The sequence below is a fragment of the Homo sapiens genome, chromosome 16 (genome assembly GCF_000001405.40).
Source record: "Homo sapiens chromosome 16, GRCh38.p14 Primary Assembly".
NCBI lineage: Eukaryota > Metazoa > Chordata > Mammalia > Primates > Hominidae > Homo > Homo sapiens.
In genome coordinates, this window is record NC_000016.10 from 56,262,488 (window position 1) to 56,279,575 (window position 17,088).

Consider the following 17,088-nt stretch of genomic DNA (forward strand, 5'->3'; position numbering starts at 1 on the left):
GCTAATGAGCAGGAACATAAATAATGAACAAACATACCGTCAACAGGAAGGCAGGAAGTTTTTTTTTTTCCCCAAAGACTGAACAAGATGAGCAAAGCTCTGCAGCCGTACTTGCGCATTCTCCACAAAATATAATTAAAAAGCTATGCAGACTGCTCCCAATGTACAGTATTGTTTATATACTAAACATAATGTACTAATAGGAATACCTCACTTCATTATGTCAGCAGAATACGAAAGGGAGATCTAGCAGCTGCCCTTATCAGGCAGATGGGAGACCAGAAATGTTACTTAGATCTAGGCAGTAAAATTGACATTGAACCAATTTGCCTCACTCGTGCCGCTTTTACTGTGTTTAACAAAAGCTCATGTCTGCACATAAGGCATTGTGAGGAGGACTCAGCAGCCATAAAGCTCTCTGTCATGTCTCTGCAACATAACCAGTGAATTTAACCGTTGGGTTTCAAAGAACAGTTTTGGATTTTCCTGGAAATAAGCCTACAGAGGACAGCATAAGGCAGCTGTGTGTCCTGACCCTTAGAAACCTGTGAGAACCAAGACATCAGGGTTGAAGGAGGGGAACCCATGCCAGTGAATGAGGGAGCGAGTCTAGTTACAATCACAAGGAAAGGGCCACAGACTCCGGGCCCAAGGGGGAAGACTATTCAGTCCGCAAGGTGGAGATGGGATTGGCAGCCAGGGCTATGAGTGGGGGATGGTGGAGAGAGATATGTCCATCTGGGGCCACTGTTTACAGGCTACCCACCTTCACAGAAAGGAGTTATATGTGGAGCCCTCATTTTAGAGCCAGAGGTCCCAAGCAATCACCTGTTTCATTCAGCCATTCATCCAGCATTGATTGATCATTCGCCATGTACCAAGCTCTGCCCTGGGCACTACAGTCTGTGAACTCAGTCCTCATGGAGCTCACGTCGATATGTGGGGAAACAGATGGTATACAAATAAAAATATACATACCAGGTGGTGATACATGTGATGAAGGAAAATAAGGAAGAATAAAGGCACAGAATAATGTAGGGAAGGGGCCGTAGTCAGACTGGTCTGAGGAGGTGACATCCGAGCAGAGCCCTGAATGCAATGAGGTATGCAGGTCTCTATTTCAGAGCTCCTCAATCTTTTGTCCAACAAGAACCCCTTTGATTATTTGCCCCCCATGAGTCACTATGTTTTGTGAGCTGGTGTATCCCAGAAAGGATGCATTTGGCAAAGATGTAGACGTAGACATAGACATAGATATGACCGTGACCCTTGGTCAACCTGAGAAACGGGGCAACCACAGGAAGTTGATGCAACCCAGCCCCAAAGCCAACACCTGACCTGTCCAAGAGGCTGGGCAATATACATAGAAAATGAGTCCAGAGTCCCAGTGGCTTGTCCAAGCTTATGCCAGCTGGTCAGCAGCAGAGCTAAGACTTAGACCCCGGGTCTCCTGAGTGATGAAATTGGGGTGGAAGCTGCCACAGTCAGTGGCAGTATTTCCCAAACACACAGGCATGAAAAAGGCAGTGGCTGGAATCTGAGGGTGGGTCAGGAGGCCTGAGGTCTTCCCAAGAGGAGGCCGACAGAGCTGCCTTGAAGGACTTCCTCCACCACCAAGGGGGAGCCCCAGGCCAGGGCCGATGATGCAGGCCTGAGAAGGATTCTTCTGCCCTCATCACCTGGGGTTGCAGTGTTGATGGCCAATCTGCATAAGAATCTGAGTCTTATATCTCCAAAGTTCAAGTCACGATATCTGTAATCTAGGGCCAGGGGCCCCAGACCAGCAATGCTACCCAGAAGGCGAGAAGGAACAGAGCTCTAGCAGGCAGTTCTCTGAGCATTACGCTGCCGCTGCCGTGGACTGACAGCTGGCCTGTGCAGCCCCCACCTCCACCCACCCCAGCACTGTGAGCTGAGGGAAAGGGCAGGGTTCATGTTGTTTTTCAGATAATGACAGCAGAGGCTCTGCACTGGAATCACAAGTCCTGGCCTTGCCCCTGGCTCTGTCTGGTGACAATTGGCAGCTGACATCTTTGCTTCTGGCCAGAGCTACCCCTTATTAAAAATGGCATCTTTATAATAGATTTCTGCAAGTCATTGTCAACAGGACATCCTTCTTGTTTTGTACCAATCATTCCTCTGGGGGACTGATTTTGCCTGTTACTATTATTTTAGAACTCTTTAGAATACCCTTTTATTCTATATTATTCTGATATTAGAATATCAAGTTTTAATATAGTATTAAAAATATAGTATTAAATATAGTATTTTAATATAGTATTATTACTAATTAATATATTTTTATCGTATAGTATATAGTATTAATATAGTATATAGTATAGTATACTAATTATATAGTATTAATTAATAATTAATAATTACTAAAGTGGTCATAATTATTTTTTAAATAAATGTTCGCATACCATACAGCTTCACCCCACAATTAAACAGCTGGATTTTTAGCTGAGTCTTCTCTTCTTTCCAAATAGCCAAGGGATCCATTTGTGCCCAAGTTATTCATCCTCACTTTGTAAGGCCTAGGTGTCACCCAGCCTCTATCTTGTCCCATCTAGGTTTTGTGGTTTTCTGCCTCCCTTGGGAGAAGCACCCTCGTGGTCAGACAAGCCCCCCAGCCCGAGCAGCTGAATCTGAAGCTGGAAAGAGCTCTCATTCGTGAGCAGCCCAAATGTCCACCGTGAGGGGTTTGGTTGAATAGCTCATGGCCCATTCAGATGATGAGACTAAGCAGCTAATAGAACCCCAGGGTCACATGGAGCCACATCAATGACTTCTTCCTGAAGTCATCTCTGGCCATGCTGGATGGAGCCTGGTGCCCCTCTTATGCATGTCCACAGCTCCTGGGCTAGACAGCAGCTCCAGAAGGCAGGCCTGGCCATGCAGGTCGGGCTCACTGCCCTGTATCCAGTGCCTGGAATGAAGAAAGCACTTCATAAACAGCTGTTAAAATGAATATACAGTTCAGTGTAGAAAACAACATGTACAGTGGGATTCCATTTTAGGGAAAATAATACTCGTGCGGACTCCCAGGTAAAAGGACTGAAATATACCCCAACATGTGGACGGTGGTTCCCTCCAGCTGGTGGGTTGATGGCTGAAATTTTTTTCTTCTTTTTTGCTTAGCTGTGTGGGCTATAATCTATAAGTGTTCCAAGAACAGGCCTTTCAGTCAGGGCTGGAGAAGTCAGGGAAAGAGGAGGGAAAGCTGCCATTTAAAAGTGATCCACAATTAGAGCAGAACCACTGGTGGGAGGCAAGATGGTTTGGGGACGAATGTGTTTTTTTTTAACAGGTGAGCATTTGTTTTAATGTGTAGCTGAGAAAAAATTTTGAGTAGTACATTAGCCATAGTACTGGTCCCTGCTGCTCCTCTGGCCTCATCCCCCACTTTCCCTATCACTCACTAGGTTCAAGCCCTGCTGGTTCCTCATCATTAGAACACTAAAGGTGCCCCGGGGCCTTTGCTCTTGCTGCTCCCTCTGCCTGTTGCGTTCTTCCTCACCAATATGCAAGGCCCACTTCTTATCACTGAGGCCTCAGCTTCATGCCACCTCATGGCTCTTAACTCTACCCTTCCCCACTAACTACTAGTTTTGTGTTTATTACTCTGTAATATTTGTTTACTTCTTTATGCTTTCCCCTATTGAGCTGTGAGTCCTTTGAAGGCAGGGCCTCTGTCTGTCCTGTTCGCCAGTCTCCTGGGTGCTGTGTGAACTGCACCTGGTACATAGCAGTCAGTTCTGTTAGATGAGAAGAGGAGGATGCCGTCAGTGGGGGGATTGAAGGAGGCCATAATCTCAGGGATGGCTGAGCTCTGCCAGTCAAGGAAGCAGCCTTTATGCCTGGTAAAGAGCAAAGCTTCTGACTTCCCATCAGGGGCCTCTACACTCTTGGAATTCTGGGAAATCAGAAATTAAGACCCAGAATAATTGCTTTGCAAAACATACACATCTTACTTCTGCCCAACCAGTGGTCCCTCTGAGCCAGTCATTCAAAACATGGATACTGTCTGGCCCCCCAGCACCACATTCAGTTGAGTCAAGGCACTGCTGCACCAGATGGAAGGAGGGCCCGTGGCTTGGGAAACAAGACTAGTGGTCTAGCCCTGCTTTGGCACTGAATTGCCTGAGACTTTTAAATAATATTAGCAGCTGACATTTATTGGGCCCTACTGAGTGCCAGACCCTCCCCACACATTAATACTGCCAGTGACCCTGTGAAGGACAAGATCATTGTCCCCATTTTACAGGGGAGAGACCTAGACTCAGGGAGGTTGAGAACTTGCCCACAGTCCAACTGTCAGTGAATAGGAGACTCAGGGTGTGCCCCACTCTTAACACGTGCTCAGTATATATATATTCATGGAGGGAATGAATAAACAAAGGAAAGAGTGGTGTTCTCTAGGGGATTTGGGCTGCTGCAGTTCCTAGAAAGCCCTCCCAGTCCCCAGCCGCCACCGTGTCCACATCGTGTGCCCTCTGGACCACTGCAGACCACTCTGCTTAGTCCTCAGTCTTGATGGTATCCCCTGAGTCAGGAAGCCAGGTCCCTCCTGCAGATCCAGCACCACTGGCCACAAGACCACATTCCAGGGAAAGGAAATACAAGAGCAGAGTTAGTGGGAGCTCCAACAGGTAGAAGAAGAGGGAGGAGGGTCCAGGCGGGGCTCTCTCTCCCCGTTCCCCTGGGGTGCCTGCCCTCTGCTGAGCCCACCTCCAAGTAGGTATGCTGCCAGTGCCTGCCAGTGCCTCTCAACCAGGCGGTGTTGGTGACATTTCCCCCATTGAGTCAGCTTGCTGTTCATGCCTTCTCCTTGAGTCAATGGAAGCCTCCCTCAGGAGGGAACGGCAGACCCGTGCCAGTGCCAGCTCCAGGGAAGCCTGCTGACTGGGGTCTCTGGCTTCCGGTCCCACCGGCCAGCACGTGAGCTGCCTTCATGCATTTCACACACATTTCCCGAGCACTCTGTGGGACAAGGGGGGCTCTGGGAGGTGCGAAGGGACCACACAGCGTTGTCTCCAGGCACCGGTGCTGTTCTCTTGTCTGGATTGTCCTACCTTGTCTGTCCAGCCAGCACCTGCTCCGTGGTCACTGCTGTTTCCTGAGAGGCCGGTCCCACCCTCCACCATGCACCTGTACTGTAGGTGCTCCTTCAGGTCGTATTTTCCCCTTATTCCCATTATGATTTATAGAACCATTTGTGACATTACTTCTTTCATATTGTTCTTCCCTATTAGAATGCAAGCTCCACAAGGGCAGGGATTGTGTCTGTCGCTTTTATCCCAGCCCATGATATGGTGGCTGGCACCTAGTAGGTATGCAAATAATATATGAAAAATGAATTAGGGAATCAATGAATAGAGATGCTTACAGAATATACCCCTGCCCCCCACCCCTACAGGAACACCTCTAAATTATTGGGAGCTGGATCTTTTAAGACAGAAGGTAAAAACATCTTTCCATTTTGCATTTGATTAGATGTTTTTCTCACCTGGTGTCACCCATCACCTCCCCTCTCCCAGGGGAGCATCAAGGGAGGTAAGACGCCTGTAGCACAATGGAAAGGCCTCTGGGGGTTTTGTCCCTGCTCTGCCACAAACTAAATGTGCCTGTAGGCACATCTCTTCCTCTCCATATCACAGTTTTCCATCTGGAAAATGACTATTTCTGTGTGGGCTCTAAGCAGAACCATTTATTTGGCCAGTCTTCGTGGCAAAGGAGGCAGGGAAAGGAACTCTTCATGAGAAGGGAGTGGCTTTCAGGTGGCAGCCAGCACATCCTTCAACTGGCCCTTGGCAGATGCCACTTTTTTGTTGTTAATTTTCATTTCTTGGCACTAGCCTTATCTTACCATCTAGATTGAGAAGCTCTGGAAGGGAGGGACCAGGCCTCATAGGCTTTAAGTCGGAAGAGACCTTCCAGCAGGCTGAACCCAAATGTGTCACTCCAGGAGATTCGTATTGATCAATGACTCTACCCCTTTTACTCAAGTATTCTCTCTAGGTCAAAATGGTCCCTAGTAGGTTAAACACGAAGTGTCTGTCTCCCATTGGAAATGACTTGTTGTTCTTCCAGATAACAAGTATACATTTTTAAACATGAAACAAAACATACAAAGAAGAAAGTTTAAAAAAATCACTGAATGCCACCACCCAAAAGTGATTATTAATACATCTTGTTACACATCCTCACATAATAACTCCCTCTCCCTCCTTCTCCCTCCATACCACACCCTACCTCCTGCCCCCACCCACAAACAGTTTTATGAAAACAGCTGCACAGGACACACACTGTAACCAGCATTTTCACTTTACCGTCCTGTCCAGATCCTGGTCTCGTAGGTTCTGTGGAGCCCCCAATTCCTGGCATGTGGCTTCTTCCCTCACTGACATCTGACAGTTGTTTGATTAAAAATGTGTCATATGAGGCCAGGCAGGTCTGTCCCTACCTCCACTGGGGAGGCAGATGGCTTCAGGGGCCACGTCCCATTACTGCCGAGATCTCCCTGACGGCTGGAAACCATTGGTGCTGTGCATGGGAGTGAAGCACTGGGCCCTGACCCTAACCCAGGCAGCCACAGCACAGCTCTCCGTCAGTGTTCAGAAACATATTTCATGACACGTTAAGACAGCCTCAAATCAGGAAATCCACCTTCTCATCCCACAACCACTCCCAACGTGTTCATTTGGTAAATGGTAAATGAGCAGATTCTCTGCTTTGGTCCGGAGAAACCCCCTCTGCCGCTCTTCTTTTCTCCACTGTGGCTTGTTAACCCTTGCTGCTGTTGTTGCTGCTCCTCCTCCTCCTCCTCCTCCTGACAAGCAGTGGTCCTCCCAGCCTTCCCTCCCCGTGGACCCAGTTCACATCCTCTTCCTCAAGAGGACAGACGCGGGACGCCTGACTGACTGCACGTTCTCCCCCGTCCCTCGTACCAAGTATGGCAACAATAATAATAGCTAGCACTGATTGACTGCCGACTGTGCTGGGCACTCTACATGGATTCATTCTTTTGATCCTAACCATGAACCAGCTCTGTTACCACGCCCATCTCCCAGGAACAGATGCGGAAACAAGCACCCGGTCTCAGCTAGAGTCTGGCTCTAGAAGCCCCCGCTTCCTGTGGATCATTAAAGGGATTGTGATGGAGGAGGAGCGGCAGTCCAGTCCCAGGGCAGGAGCCAGGGCGCTGATAAAGGGAGCAGACGAGGGGCATTTAATCTAGCTGGAGATGTAGTGAAAAACCATGTATCCCAACAGCCTAGGGCCTCTGAGTTTGTGACCCTCCAGAAGTTGGGGGGGAAACTGTATGTGTTGGTACATTGTCACACTGTCAGAGGAGTCTATGATTCAGAGAAGGAGAATGGCTGCTGGGCCAGATGAGCCTCCAAGGTCCCTTCCAGCTCCCAAGCCTGTGGTTCTGTGACCATATAAGGCCAGCATGCCTGGGGAGTCTCACTGCAGCTAAGTGCAGTCCTACACTGCAAGGGGGAAGCAGAGAGCAAAGGGAGCCCAAGTCCAGGCCTCCTGCAGGGTCCCTAAGGCAGCAGAGAGAGAAATGGAGGTGCGGGGAGAACCAGGGTTTCTCCTTGGTTGCCTCTTCCCAGAAAGCTCAGACCTGTGCAGGCGGGCTTGGTTGCCACCCTCTGTCTCTCCCCATACCCACGTGAGATCTCCTCTCAGCAGCGTTGCCAGGTTTCCAGAGTCCAGCTGGCGGTTTCTGTCCAAAGTCAAACACTCCACAGTCAGTCCTTGGTTGTTCAGACCTCCTGTTCCTTATGGTGCTTCTGGTTTGGTGGCCTGGAACACCCCTGAGCGTCCCTGAGTTTTGGGTGGACATGAATTCAGAATCTAGCTTGATCTCCCTTTGATACCCTGGCTTTGCAGTCATAAGAAATCTAGTAGGTCCCCACCCTGACACACACACACACACACACACACACATAACACACACAGGGACACACACGTCTGCCTCCTTTAGTGAGTGCTCTGGAGAGGGACAGGTCTGGTGCATCTGTGTACTCCTGACTCATGTAGTTATGTCCCACTTTATCCAAGCACTGTCTGGAGCTCAACCCTATGCCAGGAGATATGGGAAGAAAGCAGAGATAGGTGAGATGTGGTGCTTTAATTTTAAAAATTAAAAATTAGTAAACAAGTCTTCTGGGAGATGATCTCTGATTATTATTGTTATCAGGGTACAAAATATGTACCTTTTAGTCATGTCTCTGTTGGTTCTAAGTGGCAGAAGCCCAAATCAAATTAGCTTATTCAAAATTGAGAGGGAATTATTTGGCTCATATCACTCAAAAGTATGGGGTGGGCTTCAGGCATGGTTGGACCCAGGGGCTCAAATGATGTTTCTGGGACTTGATTCTGCACTCAATCGCTCAGCTATGTAGATGAACAGCCCACCTGGGGCTGCTGCAATGTGAGATGCCACTGACTGTTGCTAAGGTATCTCGTGGAGCCTCGCTCCTGATTTCCAAATCCTGGCCTTGTCACCTCCACAACTCAGACCTGGGCTGTCACATGAGACTGAACTCTCCAGAGCTGTATCTCCAACTCCAACCCAGAGGCCTCCTTTCCTTGCCAGAACATTGGGCAGATACAACAGGGTGAGTTCCAATGCTTGTTTTGTGGGTGAAATCTCTGGATTCTCCTGGATATAGGGACTCAGGGCAGAAGGAGAAGCCCTGCCTTTCAGCATTTGCCATTTACCAGCTGTATGTCGAGTAAGTGGCCTAACCTATCTGAGCCTCAGTTTCCTCATCTGTAAAGAGGAGATAATTTATCTCCTAGAATTGTTTTGAAGGTTAAATGAAATGACACATGTAAAGCACTTAGCACAGAGGGTAAACCCTCAAACATGAGCTGCAATTATTCTGCTTATCTTATACTGCAAATGAAAGAAATTATGTTTGCAGGATTTTAACTTTAGAATGAAAATGCTATTATTTTTTTTGGTTGAGACAGAGTCTCGCTCTGTCGCCCAGGCTGGAGTGCAGTGGCGTGATCTTGGTTCACTGCCACGTCCTCCTCCTGGGTTGCAGTGATTCTCCTGCCTCAGCCTCCCAAGTAGCTGGGACTACAGGTGCATGCCACCACACCAGGCTAATTTTTGTATTTTTCAGTAGAGACGGGGTTTCACCATGTTAGCCAGGCTGGTCTCAAACTCCTGACCTCGTGATCTGCCTGCCTCAGCCTCCGAAAGTGCTGGGATTACAGGCATGAGCCACTGCGTCCGGTGGAAAATATTAATAGCTACCATTTGTTTTATACTTACTATATGGTAGGCACTTTACATTTATTCCTCCCAACTCTTTTGCTTATGAGGAAACCGAGGCTCAGGAGATTAAATTGTTTACCAGGGACACACAGCTCATCCTGTCCAATGCCCAACCTCTAACCACTGCTCTACTCGGCCTTTCTAAAATGGTGTGGGGAAATAGAAAATAAAGAGGGTCTTTATTGATACATTTAAGGATATTTGCCTCAAATCAATGCTAGCAAGAAAAAAAGAAGAGGAATGTGGCATTTAAAAAAGCCAGAGGGATGACTTAACATTTAAAAATTCAGTGTTCTTCTGAGTTTTGGGAGTATGAATAATATTTCCTGTTGTCGGTGAAACCCCGTCTCTACTAAAAATACAAAAAATTAGCCAGGCATGGTGGCGGGCGCCTGTAGTCCCAGCTACTTGGGAGGCTGAGGCAGGAGAATGGCATGAACCAAGGAGGCAGAGCTTGCAGTGAGCCGAGATTGCGCCGCTGCACTCCAGCCTGGGCGACAGACAGAGCGAGACTCCATCTGAAAAAAAAAAGGATATTTCTTGTTGTTCTGTATGGACCAAATTTTCTAGTCTTAAGTATTTATTACATTGTAGTAGAAGGGGATATAAAATTCTACCCAGAAACAGGAAGCCTATTTTTAACCTAATATAAGCCAGTTTGAACAACTTATAGGGCTAATCATGATTTGAGCAATTTCCCCCAAATTGCAACATTTCTGCAAACTGCAAATGAAGCTTCTTTATCTTGGGACACCCCAGGCAACAGATTGAGACCTGCCAGGCAGTATTTTCAGCCCATGAATTGAAGTGTGATAGAAAGTACTGTGAGCTTGGAGACCTGTATCCTGTTCTTGGCCCAGGCTCTTACCTGCTGAGAGATATTGGGGCAATTACTTATTCTCTCTCAGCCTCAGTTTTCTCTTCTGTCAAATGGGTATAATAAAATCCCACCCTTTCCACCTGATCAAGTGCATATAAAGATTAATGATATCAATAGGTGTGAAATAGGTTGAAGGAAGTCCCAGAGCCAGCCATAGGTCTAGAGAACATTCCCAGGAGAGTGGTAGGGTCTGCTGGTCCCAAATGAAGCATGAGAAACTCAATGCACTGGCTTCTGGGGAAGCATATCATAGCATGGGGACCAGCAAATCCTGCCTGCACCACTCAGGTCACCCAAAGGGTCCCACCCTCTTAGGGGAATCTAGGTACCAGTTGCCTTTCTTTTCTGTTTTTTAGTATTTACGCTAGAGTTTACAATGTGTATCTTGACTTATTACACTTTACTTTCAAATAATATTATATTAATACTACTTTTTTCACATACAAGAATCTTTCTACAGTATAGAGTATACTTTCATTTTATCCCTCCCATCCTTTGTGCTATGGTTGAAGTTTTATTTCTATGTATGTTATAAACATAATACATTTTTCAGCTTCTTCCCTCTCTTTGTTTCAATTTAGATAGTTTTTATTGCCATGTTTTCAAGTTCACTCATCTTCTGTATGTCTAATCTGCTGTTAATCCCATCCAGTGAAATTTTTATTTTAGATATTATATTTTCATCAGTTGATATTCCCTTTTGTTCTTTTTAATGTCTTCCATTTCTTTCCTCATTATGTTCATAATTCCCTTCAATTTCTTAGAAATATTTAAAATAGATGTTTTAAAATTCTTATTAATTCCATGATCTCTGTCACTGCTGGGTCTGTTTCTGTTGACTGCATTTTATCATAGTTATGGGTCATGCTTTTCTGCTTCTTTGCATATTCAGGAATTATTTGTGTGATGCTGATACTATGAATATTATATTGTTGAATGTCTAGATTTTGTTGTTCTCATGTAAAGACTGTTGGACTTTATTCTCCAGGTAGTTAAGTTACTTGTAGATCAGCTTGATTTTTTTTTAACTTTGTTTTTAAGCTTCATGAGGGCAGGTCTAAAGCAGCCTTTACTCTGGAGCTAGCTCAGCCCCGTTGCTATGGCATGAGCCTTCTGGCGTCTCTGCTGAGTGCCCCAGGCGTTCAACAAGGACTCTTCACTCTGGCTGTTTGGAACTTGAATATCTCCCAGCCTTGAATGAGCTCTGGGAAGCGTTCAACTGATAAGCTCCCTGATGCTTGTTCTTTCTTTAGTAATTGTTCCTTGACCAGCTGTGGAATCTTACCCTATCCAGCCACAGACTCCAAGGAGACCCCTGTGCACTCTCTGAAGCATCTGAAGTGCTCTCTCTTCGCAGTTTTCTCCCCTCTGGTACGCTGCCCTTCCAGCTACCTCAGCTTTCCTGAACTCACTTTTTCTCTTCAGCTCAGTGAAATGGCTGTGTTCTGCCTGGGTTCCCTCCTGCACTGTGGTCTAGTAAACACCTAAAGGCGGACGCCCAGGCCATCACCGGACTCTCCTCCTTGGTCTCCCTTCTCTCAGGGATCACAGTCCTGCACTGTCTATTCTCCAGTGTTTGAAGATGCTTGTTTCACATATTTTGTCTGGTTTTCTAGTTGTTTACAGTGGGAGCTAGCAAAGATCCCTTTGAGATCTCTCTGGGGTGGTGCACCAGTGGCCTGTACTGGTTATGTACTCCCTCAAGATACTTTTACAAAACTGGACTTAGGAATAATGAAAGTCGACAGAAAGTTAATAGGGTCATTCTGATCTGCTTTTTAGAGAAATTCAGGGTGAAGACCCGCAAACCAGCACCAAGTGGAATTTGCAGCAGGAATCATTATTGTACGTCAACTGATGACTGGATAAATAAAATGTGGTACATCCATACAGTGGAATACTATTCAGTAATAAAAAGGAATGAGCTACTGATACATGCTACAACATGAATGAATCTTGAAAACATTGTGCTAAGTGAAAGAAACCAGTCACAAAAGACCATACATTGTATGGTTCCATTTATATGAACTGTCCAGAATAGCCGAATTTATAGAAACAAAATGTAGATCAGTGGTTGCTTAGGGTAGGGGCAGGGCATGGACAGTAACTGCTAATGGATACAAAGTTCCTTTTGGGGAGATTGAAATGTTCTAAAATTAGATTGTGGTGATGATTGACCAACCTTGTGAATATACTAAAAACCATTGAATTGTATACTTTAAGTAGGTAGAGTCTATATATGAACTATATCTCAATAAAACTGTTGTTTTTAAAAAAAGAAGAAGAATCTTTAGCCATTTTCTCCTGCATGAAAGTAATGAAGGAATTGGAAGGAGCCTTGGTATGGTAGAAAGGAGGTCTCAGTTATTATATTGGTGCGTGAACGTGTCACAAGTAGTGTTCTATCTGGGACTGAAAATATGACCACAGAAGAGTTTACATAGTTCATTGAGGGAGGACAAATGTAGGATGTTAATCTTAAAATTCATTTGCTCTTTCTGGATTACTTTAGTTATAAGAGGATTCTTGTGGTTTTGGCGTGAGCCCCTCCTTCTAGCTTTCTCTCCTGCCCGGATCCTTGTCAGCAGTGAGCACATGTTGAGTGGCTAGCAGGCAGTGCCACGTGGCCTCTGAAAGTTGTGATGTCCCCTTTATGTCTTCTTTGTCCCTGTTCAGATCCACCAGAACGAGGGTGGTATGTGGTTAAATCCTAGCCAAGGATGAAAAAGTAGGCAAACCCTTTTATTGACTTTTCTGTTGTCAAAGATAAAGATGGTTATTTGTTTGTCTTAAGTGAATCATTTTACCTTCATTAAAAGCGGTGAGTTTTCTGTGAAAGAAAAATGCATCATCCATTTGCAGACTTTTTACAGGGATTTTCAACAATATGCCTCTGGGTGTACACCTAAGTTGGGACCCCGAACTTTGCTTAAAATACTCATGACTAACATACATTGAGTGCTTAATGTATGCCCTTCCTGTTCTAAGTACTTTCAAGTATTATCACACCTCATTGACGGATTTTTCTTTCATTATGTAGGGAATGTGAAAAGACTGCATTTCTTTTTTCCAAGATTCTGTTTTCCAGTAATTTAGGTAGCTTTTTCCTTTAGATTTTATGACATTAATGTAGCAACTCAGTAACTCAGCATCTCGGCTGGACCTGGCCCACAGTCAGCCAGTGCGTCTCATGCCTGTGCTCTCTGTGTTGATGAGGACAATGCTCTCATCAGGTGTGGTGTGTGTGGTTTTTCTCTAGGATCATCCATGAAGATGGCTTCTCCGGAGAAGACGTGAAACAGTACAAGCCTGTTGTCTACAGCAACACTATCCAGTCCCTGGCAGCCATCGTCCGGGCCATGGACACTTTGGGCATCGAATATGGTGATAAGGAGAGAAAGGTAGGCCCCTGAGCCCATAAGCACAGCAACAAGAGGTTCTGTCTGTGTTACCCCACTGCCTCCTCTTTATAGTGCTGGGCTGCCTTAAATGAACGAGAAGAGACTCCGCTATGTTTGAAAGATATATGGTGGCACAGTCACCAACCTAAGCCATTGCATCCACCCCTCTGGCAAACTCCCAGCAAACTCACCAACTTTGCAAGTTGCAGGGGCTACAAAACTCCCGGATTTATTTTGCAGATGAGGAAGAGTTGGTGACAGTTCTAAATTGGAGCTGCCACAACACTGTCTAAGTACCTGTCCTTGGGCAATTAACTTGTACAGAAAAAAATATGTATTAAACAAAACAAGCCTTGTCTGGCCACCATCTCCCCTCCTTAGAAGAACTTTCCTTGCCTTGTTGTGGAGTGAGGATAGCCATTTGAATTGACTGCCTTTCCTCTTTTACACCAAGGGCTATGTTTTCTGCCTCCCCTGGGTAAGTATGAGGACCTACAGGGCTCTCCTTCCTGTAGAAAGTCAGTGTCCTAGAACAGGGACTGTTTGGGGGTAACATTTCCAGTCTTCTATTAAGTGGTGAATGGAATAAGTACTATATAAAAGCCTCTAATTTGCAAACATTTATATTAACTGTTAAGACTGAACTATATACAGCTACACTGGCAAGGCTAAATAAAAGGAGGGAGGGAGAGAGGGAGAGGAGAAAATAGCCTCAGAATTCTTTCCAGAAGCAGCTCTTTGTCCCTGTTTGGGACTGAATCTCAGTGATCCTCCCTCTGGGACCTGGAGATTGGAGAAGGGGGCGGAGGGCAGGTACAGCCTCCAAGCACCTGGGCTCTGCATCTGAGCCTCTGGATGGAGAGCATTCATCTCTGATTGCTGTGTGATTTGATTGTCTATTATACACATGTCCTGTCTTTGCTAAAAATCATCTTCCTCACAGAGGAAAACTGTCCTGGTTGTCTCTGTGTCTGATAAATCATCCATGATAGACAGCTTTAAATGTAAAATTTGATATGTAATGCACAAAATCCTAATTCCATGGGGCAGAGTCATCCAGCCCAGGCATTGGCTCCTCCAGGTACTGGGGAATTGGGTGACTGAGGGTATGTCCGAGGCCAGCCTGCGGTGGAGAAGCTGGGCACTAGCAGGGGGACCTGGGCCCATCTGCCGCTCCTCCTGGAGGCCAAGTTGGGAAGTGGATTCTGCAAAGGAAGCACTTCTTCCTGGAAGGCCGGCTTTGGGTTTGGTCACGGAGCCAGGGCCTGTGGAAAGAGGGAATGGGGGAGTGGATGGGTCCATTCACTGCAGGCTTATGATGTGCAAGGCTTTGAGCTAGGTGCTGTGGATACAGGAATGAGCACAGCAGGGAATGGTGTCTGGTTGCAGAAAACACCTATTCAGATCGTTAGAACTAACCCAGATGAGTACAGTGCTTCATTCTTCTTAATAACAATAGTAGGAATAAAAACAGCTACCATCTGTTGAGCACCTACTGGCTGCCAGGCACATACTAAGCACTTTACACATAATGACTCGTTTTATTTAACTCATTTTATTACAGCCCAGAGCAAGGAGTGCCTCATCTTCAGGCATGGCACAAGCCACAGGCCTCTGGTCTGTCTGTCTCCCTTTGACTAAGTGGGGAGCGTGATATCTGAATCTCAGCCAGATAGCAGACACAGTACAAAAGGCACACCCCCTACACACACACACACACACACACACACACACACACACACACACACACACACACACACACACACACACGGTGTGTGAGATCTTCCAGGAGCAAATGTATTCATCTCCCAGCCAGCTCTTCCTAAAAATCTCCTATACTGATTATAACCCAGCAAAGTCAGTGTGGCTTTGGAATACTTTTCTCCTTCCATTTTGGAAAACATTCATTGTTCCCATGGGATTTTTTTTTCCATTTTATTATCCTGAATGGAGAGATGATTGCTTGGGAATCGCTAGGACTATGATACGTTAAGGACTGTACTGCAGGCCCCTGGGAAACAGGGTCCCTTCTCTGGCTATTTCTCCTCCATGGAATTTCCCAGTCAAGTCAGCCTTCAAGTAGGAAGGAGGGGAAGGCTCCAATGGAAGGAGAGACTGAGAGCTAAGCGGGACTCCCTGGAGAGTCCACTGGACACAGTCGAGTCCAAGCACAGTTCCGTTATGGCAGGTGGCACCATGGCCAGCACCTGGCCCATCCCTAGGGCAACACAGCCTTGTCTGGTGTGAGCTTCCTGGTGGGCAAAGGCCTCCCTGGCACTCAGGCACCCCCTTCCTGTATTCTTACACCTGTGAGGAGCAGGAAAGGAGTGAACCCGAGACCCAGGCCACAGCAAGCCAGACAACTGGAAAAGGCGTTCCCGGGAGTGGGCTGGTGTGGATTCGCAGCCTGTGGAGCTGGGCAGAAGAGAGTGGAAGCCACCACTTGGCATGAGGAGACATGCCAGGCCAGAAAGGGCTGCAGTACCTGCTGGTGTGGGGGCAGCTCAGAGCCAACATCCTTCCCTTTCCATGTTCTCATGGAGCTTCCTATCTAGCAGTACAGGCAGCAAACAAGCCCACAAGTAGGTGACTGCATAATGTCAGATAATGCTAAGGGCTGCAAGGAAAACAAAATAAGGTGATGTGAGAGCCTGATCTGGGGGTAGGAGGAGCAGATAATTCAGAGTGGGAGGACGAGGGGACAGAAAGTTCCAGACAAGCACCCAGGCCCTGAGGGAGGAATGAGCCTGGCGCAGAGGAATATAAAGCTCTGTTCAGCTGGAGCTACCTGCAGCCAGGCAGCTCCTGATGTCCAGATGCCCTGAGCCCAGTGCTGGGTCCCCATATTTTTCTGTCTCTAGGGTCCCCAGCCACTCTCCACCTAGGGGATCTGCCATTTGGATGCTGGGGAAACCACCTTATGCTGCAGGAGTCCAGATCCGTGTTTTGGTCTCTGAAGAAGAGACCTCCTTCCCTCTCATGTTTTTTTCACCTCTGCCACCCACCACCACTCATCAGGGGATGTCTGGAGGAAGACAACCCCACTCCCAGCACCTGCCGGGGCCAGCCAGCCTTGCACTCTCCACACAGAAAAGCGCCTAAGAGCTTCCTTGCTGTACCTCAGTGTCAGCCCCTAGAACAGGTAGGTGTCCCTGAGTTCCCCCGGCAGCTGACTCACCACCTGTCCTGTCTGTTTCCCCCAGAGGAAAGAGGACTGGCTGGTTTTTCCTTCAGCCTCTCTGGTGTGGAGTCACTTGGGGCCCCGTGACTGTGCGTGAGCCTGAACCTGAAAGAGCCTCCGTGCAGAGCAAACAGCAGGGACCTCCTTACATCCGTCTGTGGTTTCCACACCCCAGGCCCCAGCCTCAGACTACAGACCTCTCCCAGGGGCCCCATGTACTCTCACTCCTCTGGGCCTTCGCTGGGGTGTGCTCTCTGCCTCTAGTGCCGTCCTCTTTTCTTCCCCTCTTCCACGTGGAACTGCCCCACTCAGTAAGGGCCCA

The 17,088-nt window shown here is 47.0% G+C and overlaps 1 protein-coding gene across 4 annotated transcripts in view, besides 2 other annotated features; it reads left to right on the forward strand.

Annotated features, from left to right (window-relative positions):
• Positions 1-17,088, forward strand: part of GNAO1 (G protein subunit alpha o1) — a 165,956-nt gene that overhangs the window by 70,999 nt on the left and 77,869 nt on the right. For all 4 annotated transcript variants that reach the window (XR_007064866.1, NM_020988.3, NM_138736.3 and 1 more), the window contains exon 3: positions 13,444-13,585. Coding sequence is in view for 3 of the 4 variants with exons in the window: in NM_020988.3 (NP_066268.1) it covers positions 13,444-13,585 (142 nt within the window). In the remaining variant the exon portion in view is untranslated. The remainder of the gene's footprint in view (positions 1-13,443; positions 13,586-17,088) is intronic.
• Positions 1,250-1,818: an enhancer, noted in NCBI's record as "H3K4me1 hESC enhancer chr16:56297649-56298217 (GRCh37/hg19 assembly coordinates)". NCBI's record gives its function as "activates a minimal SCP1, AML or CMV promoter by ChIP-STARR-seq in naive H9 embryonic stem cells {active_cell/tissue: H9 hESC(naive)}" and the evidence as "EXISTENCE:reporter gene assay evidence [ECO:0000049][PMID:30033119]".
• Positions 14,808-15,307: an enhancer, noted in NCBI's record as "H3K4me1 hESC enhancer chr16:56311207-56311706 (GRCh37/hg19 assembly coordinates)". NCBI's record gives its function as "activates a minimal SCP1, AML or CMV promoter by ChIP-STARR-seq in naive H9 embryonic stem cells {active_cell/tissue: H9 hESC(naive)}" and the evidence as "EXISTENCE:reporter gene assay evidence [ECO:0000049][PMID:30033119]".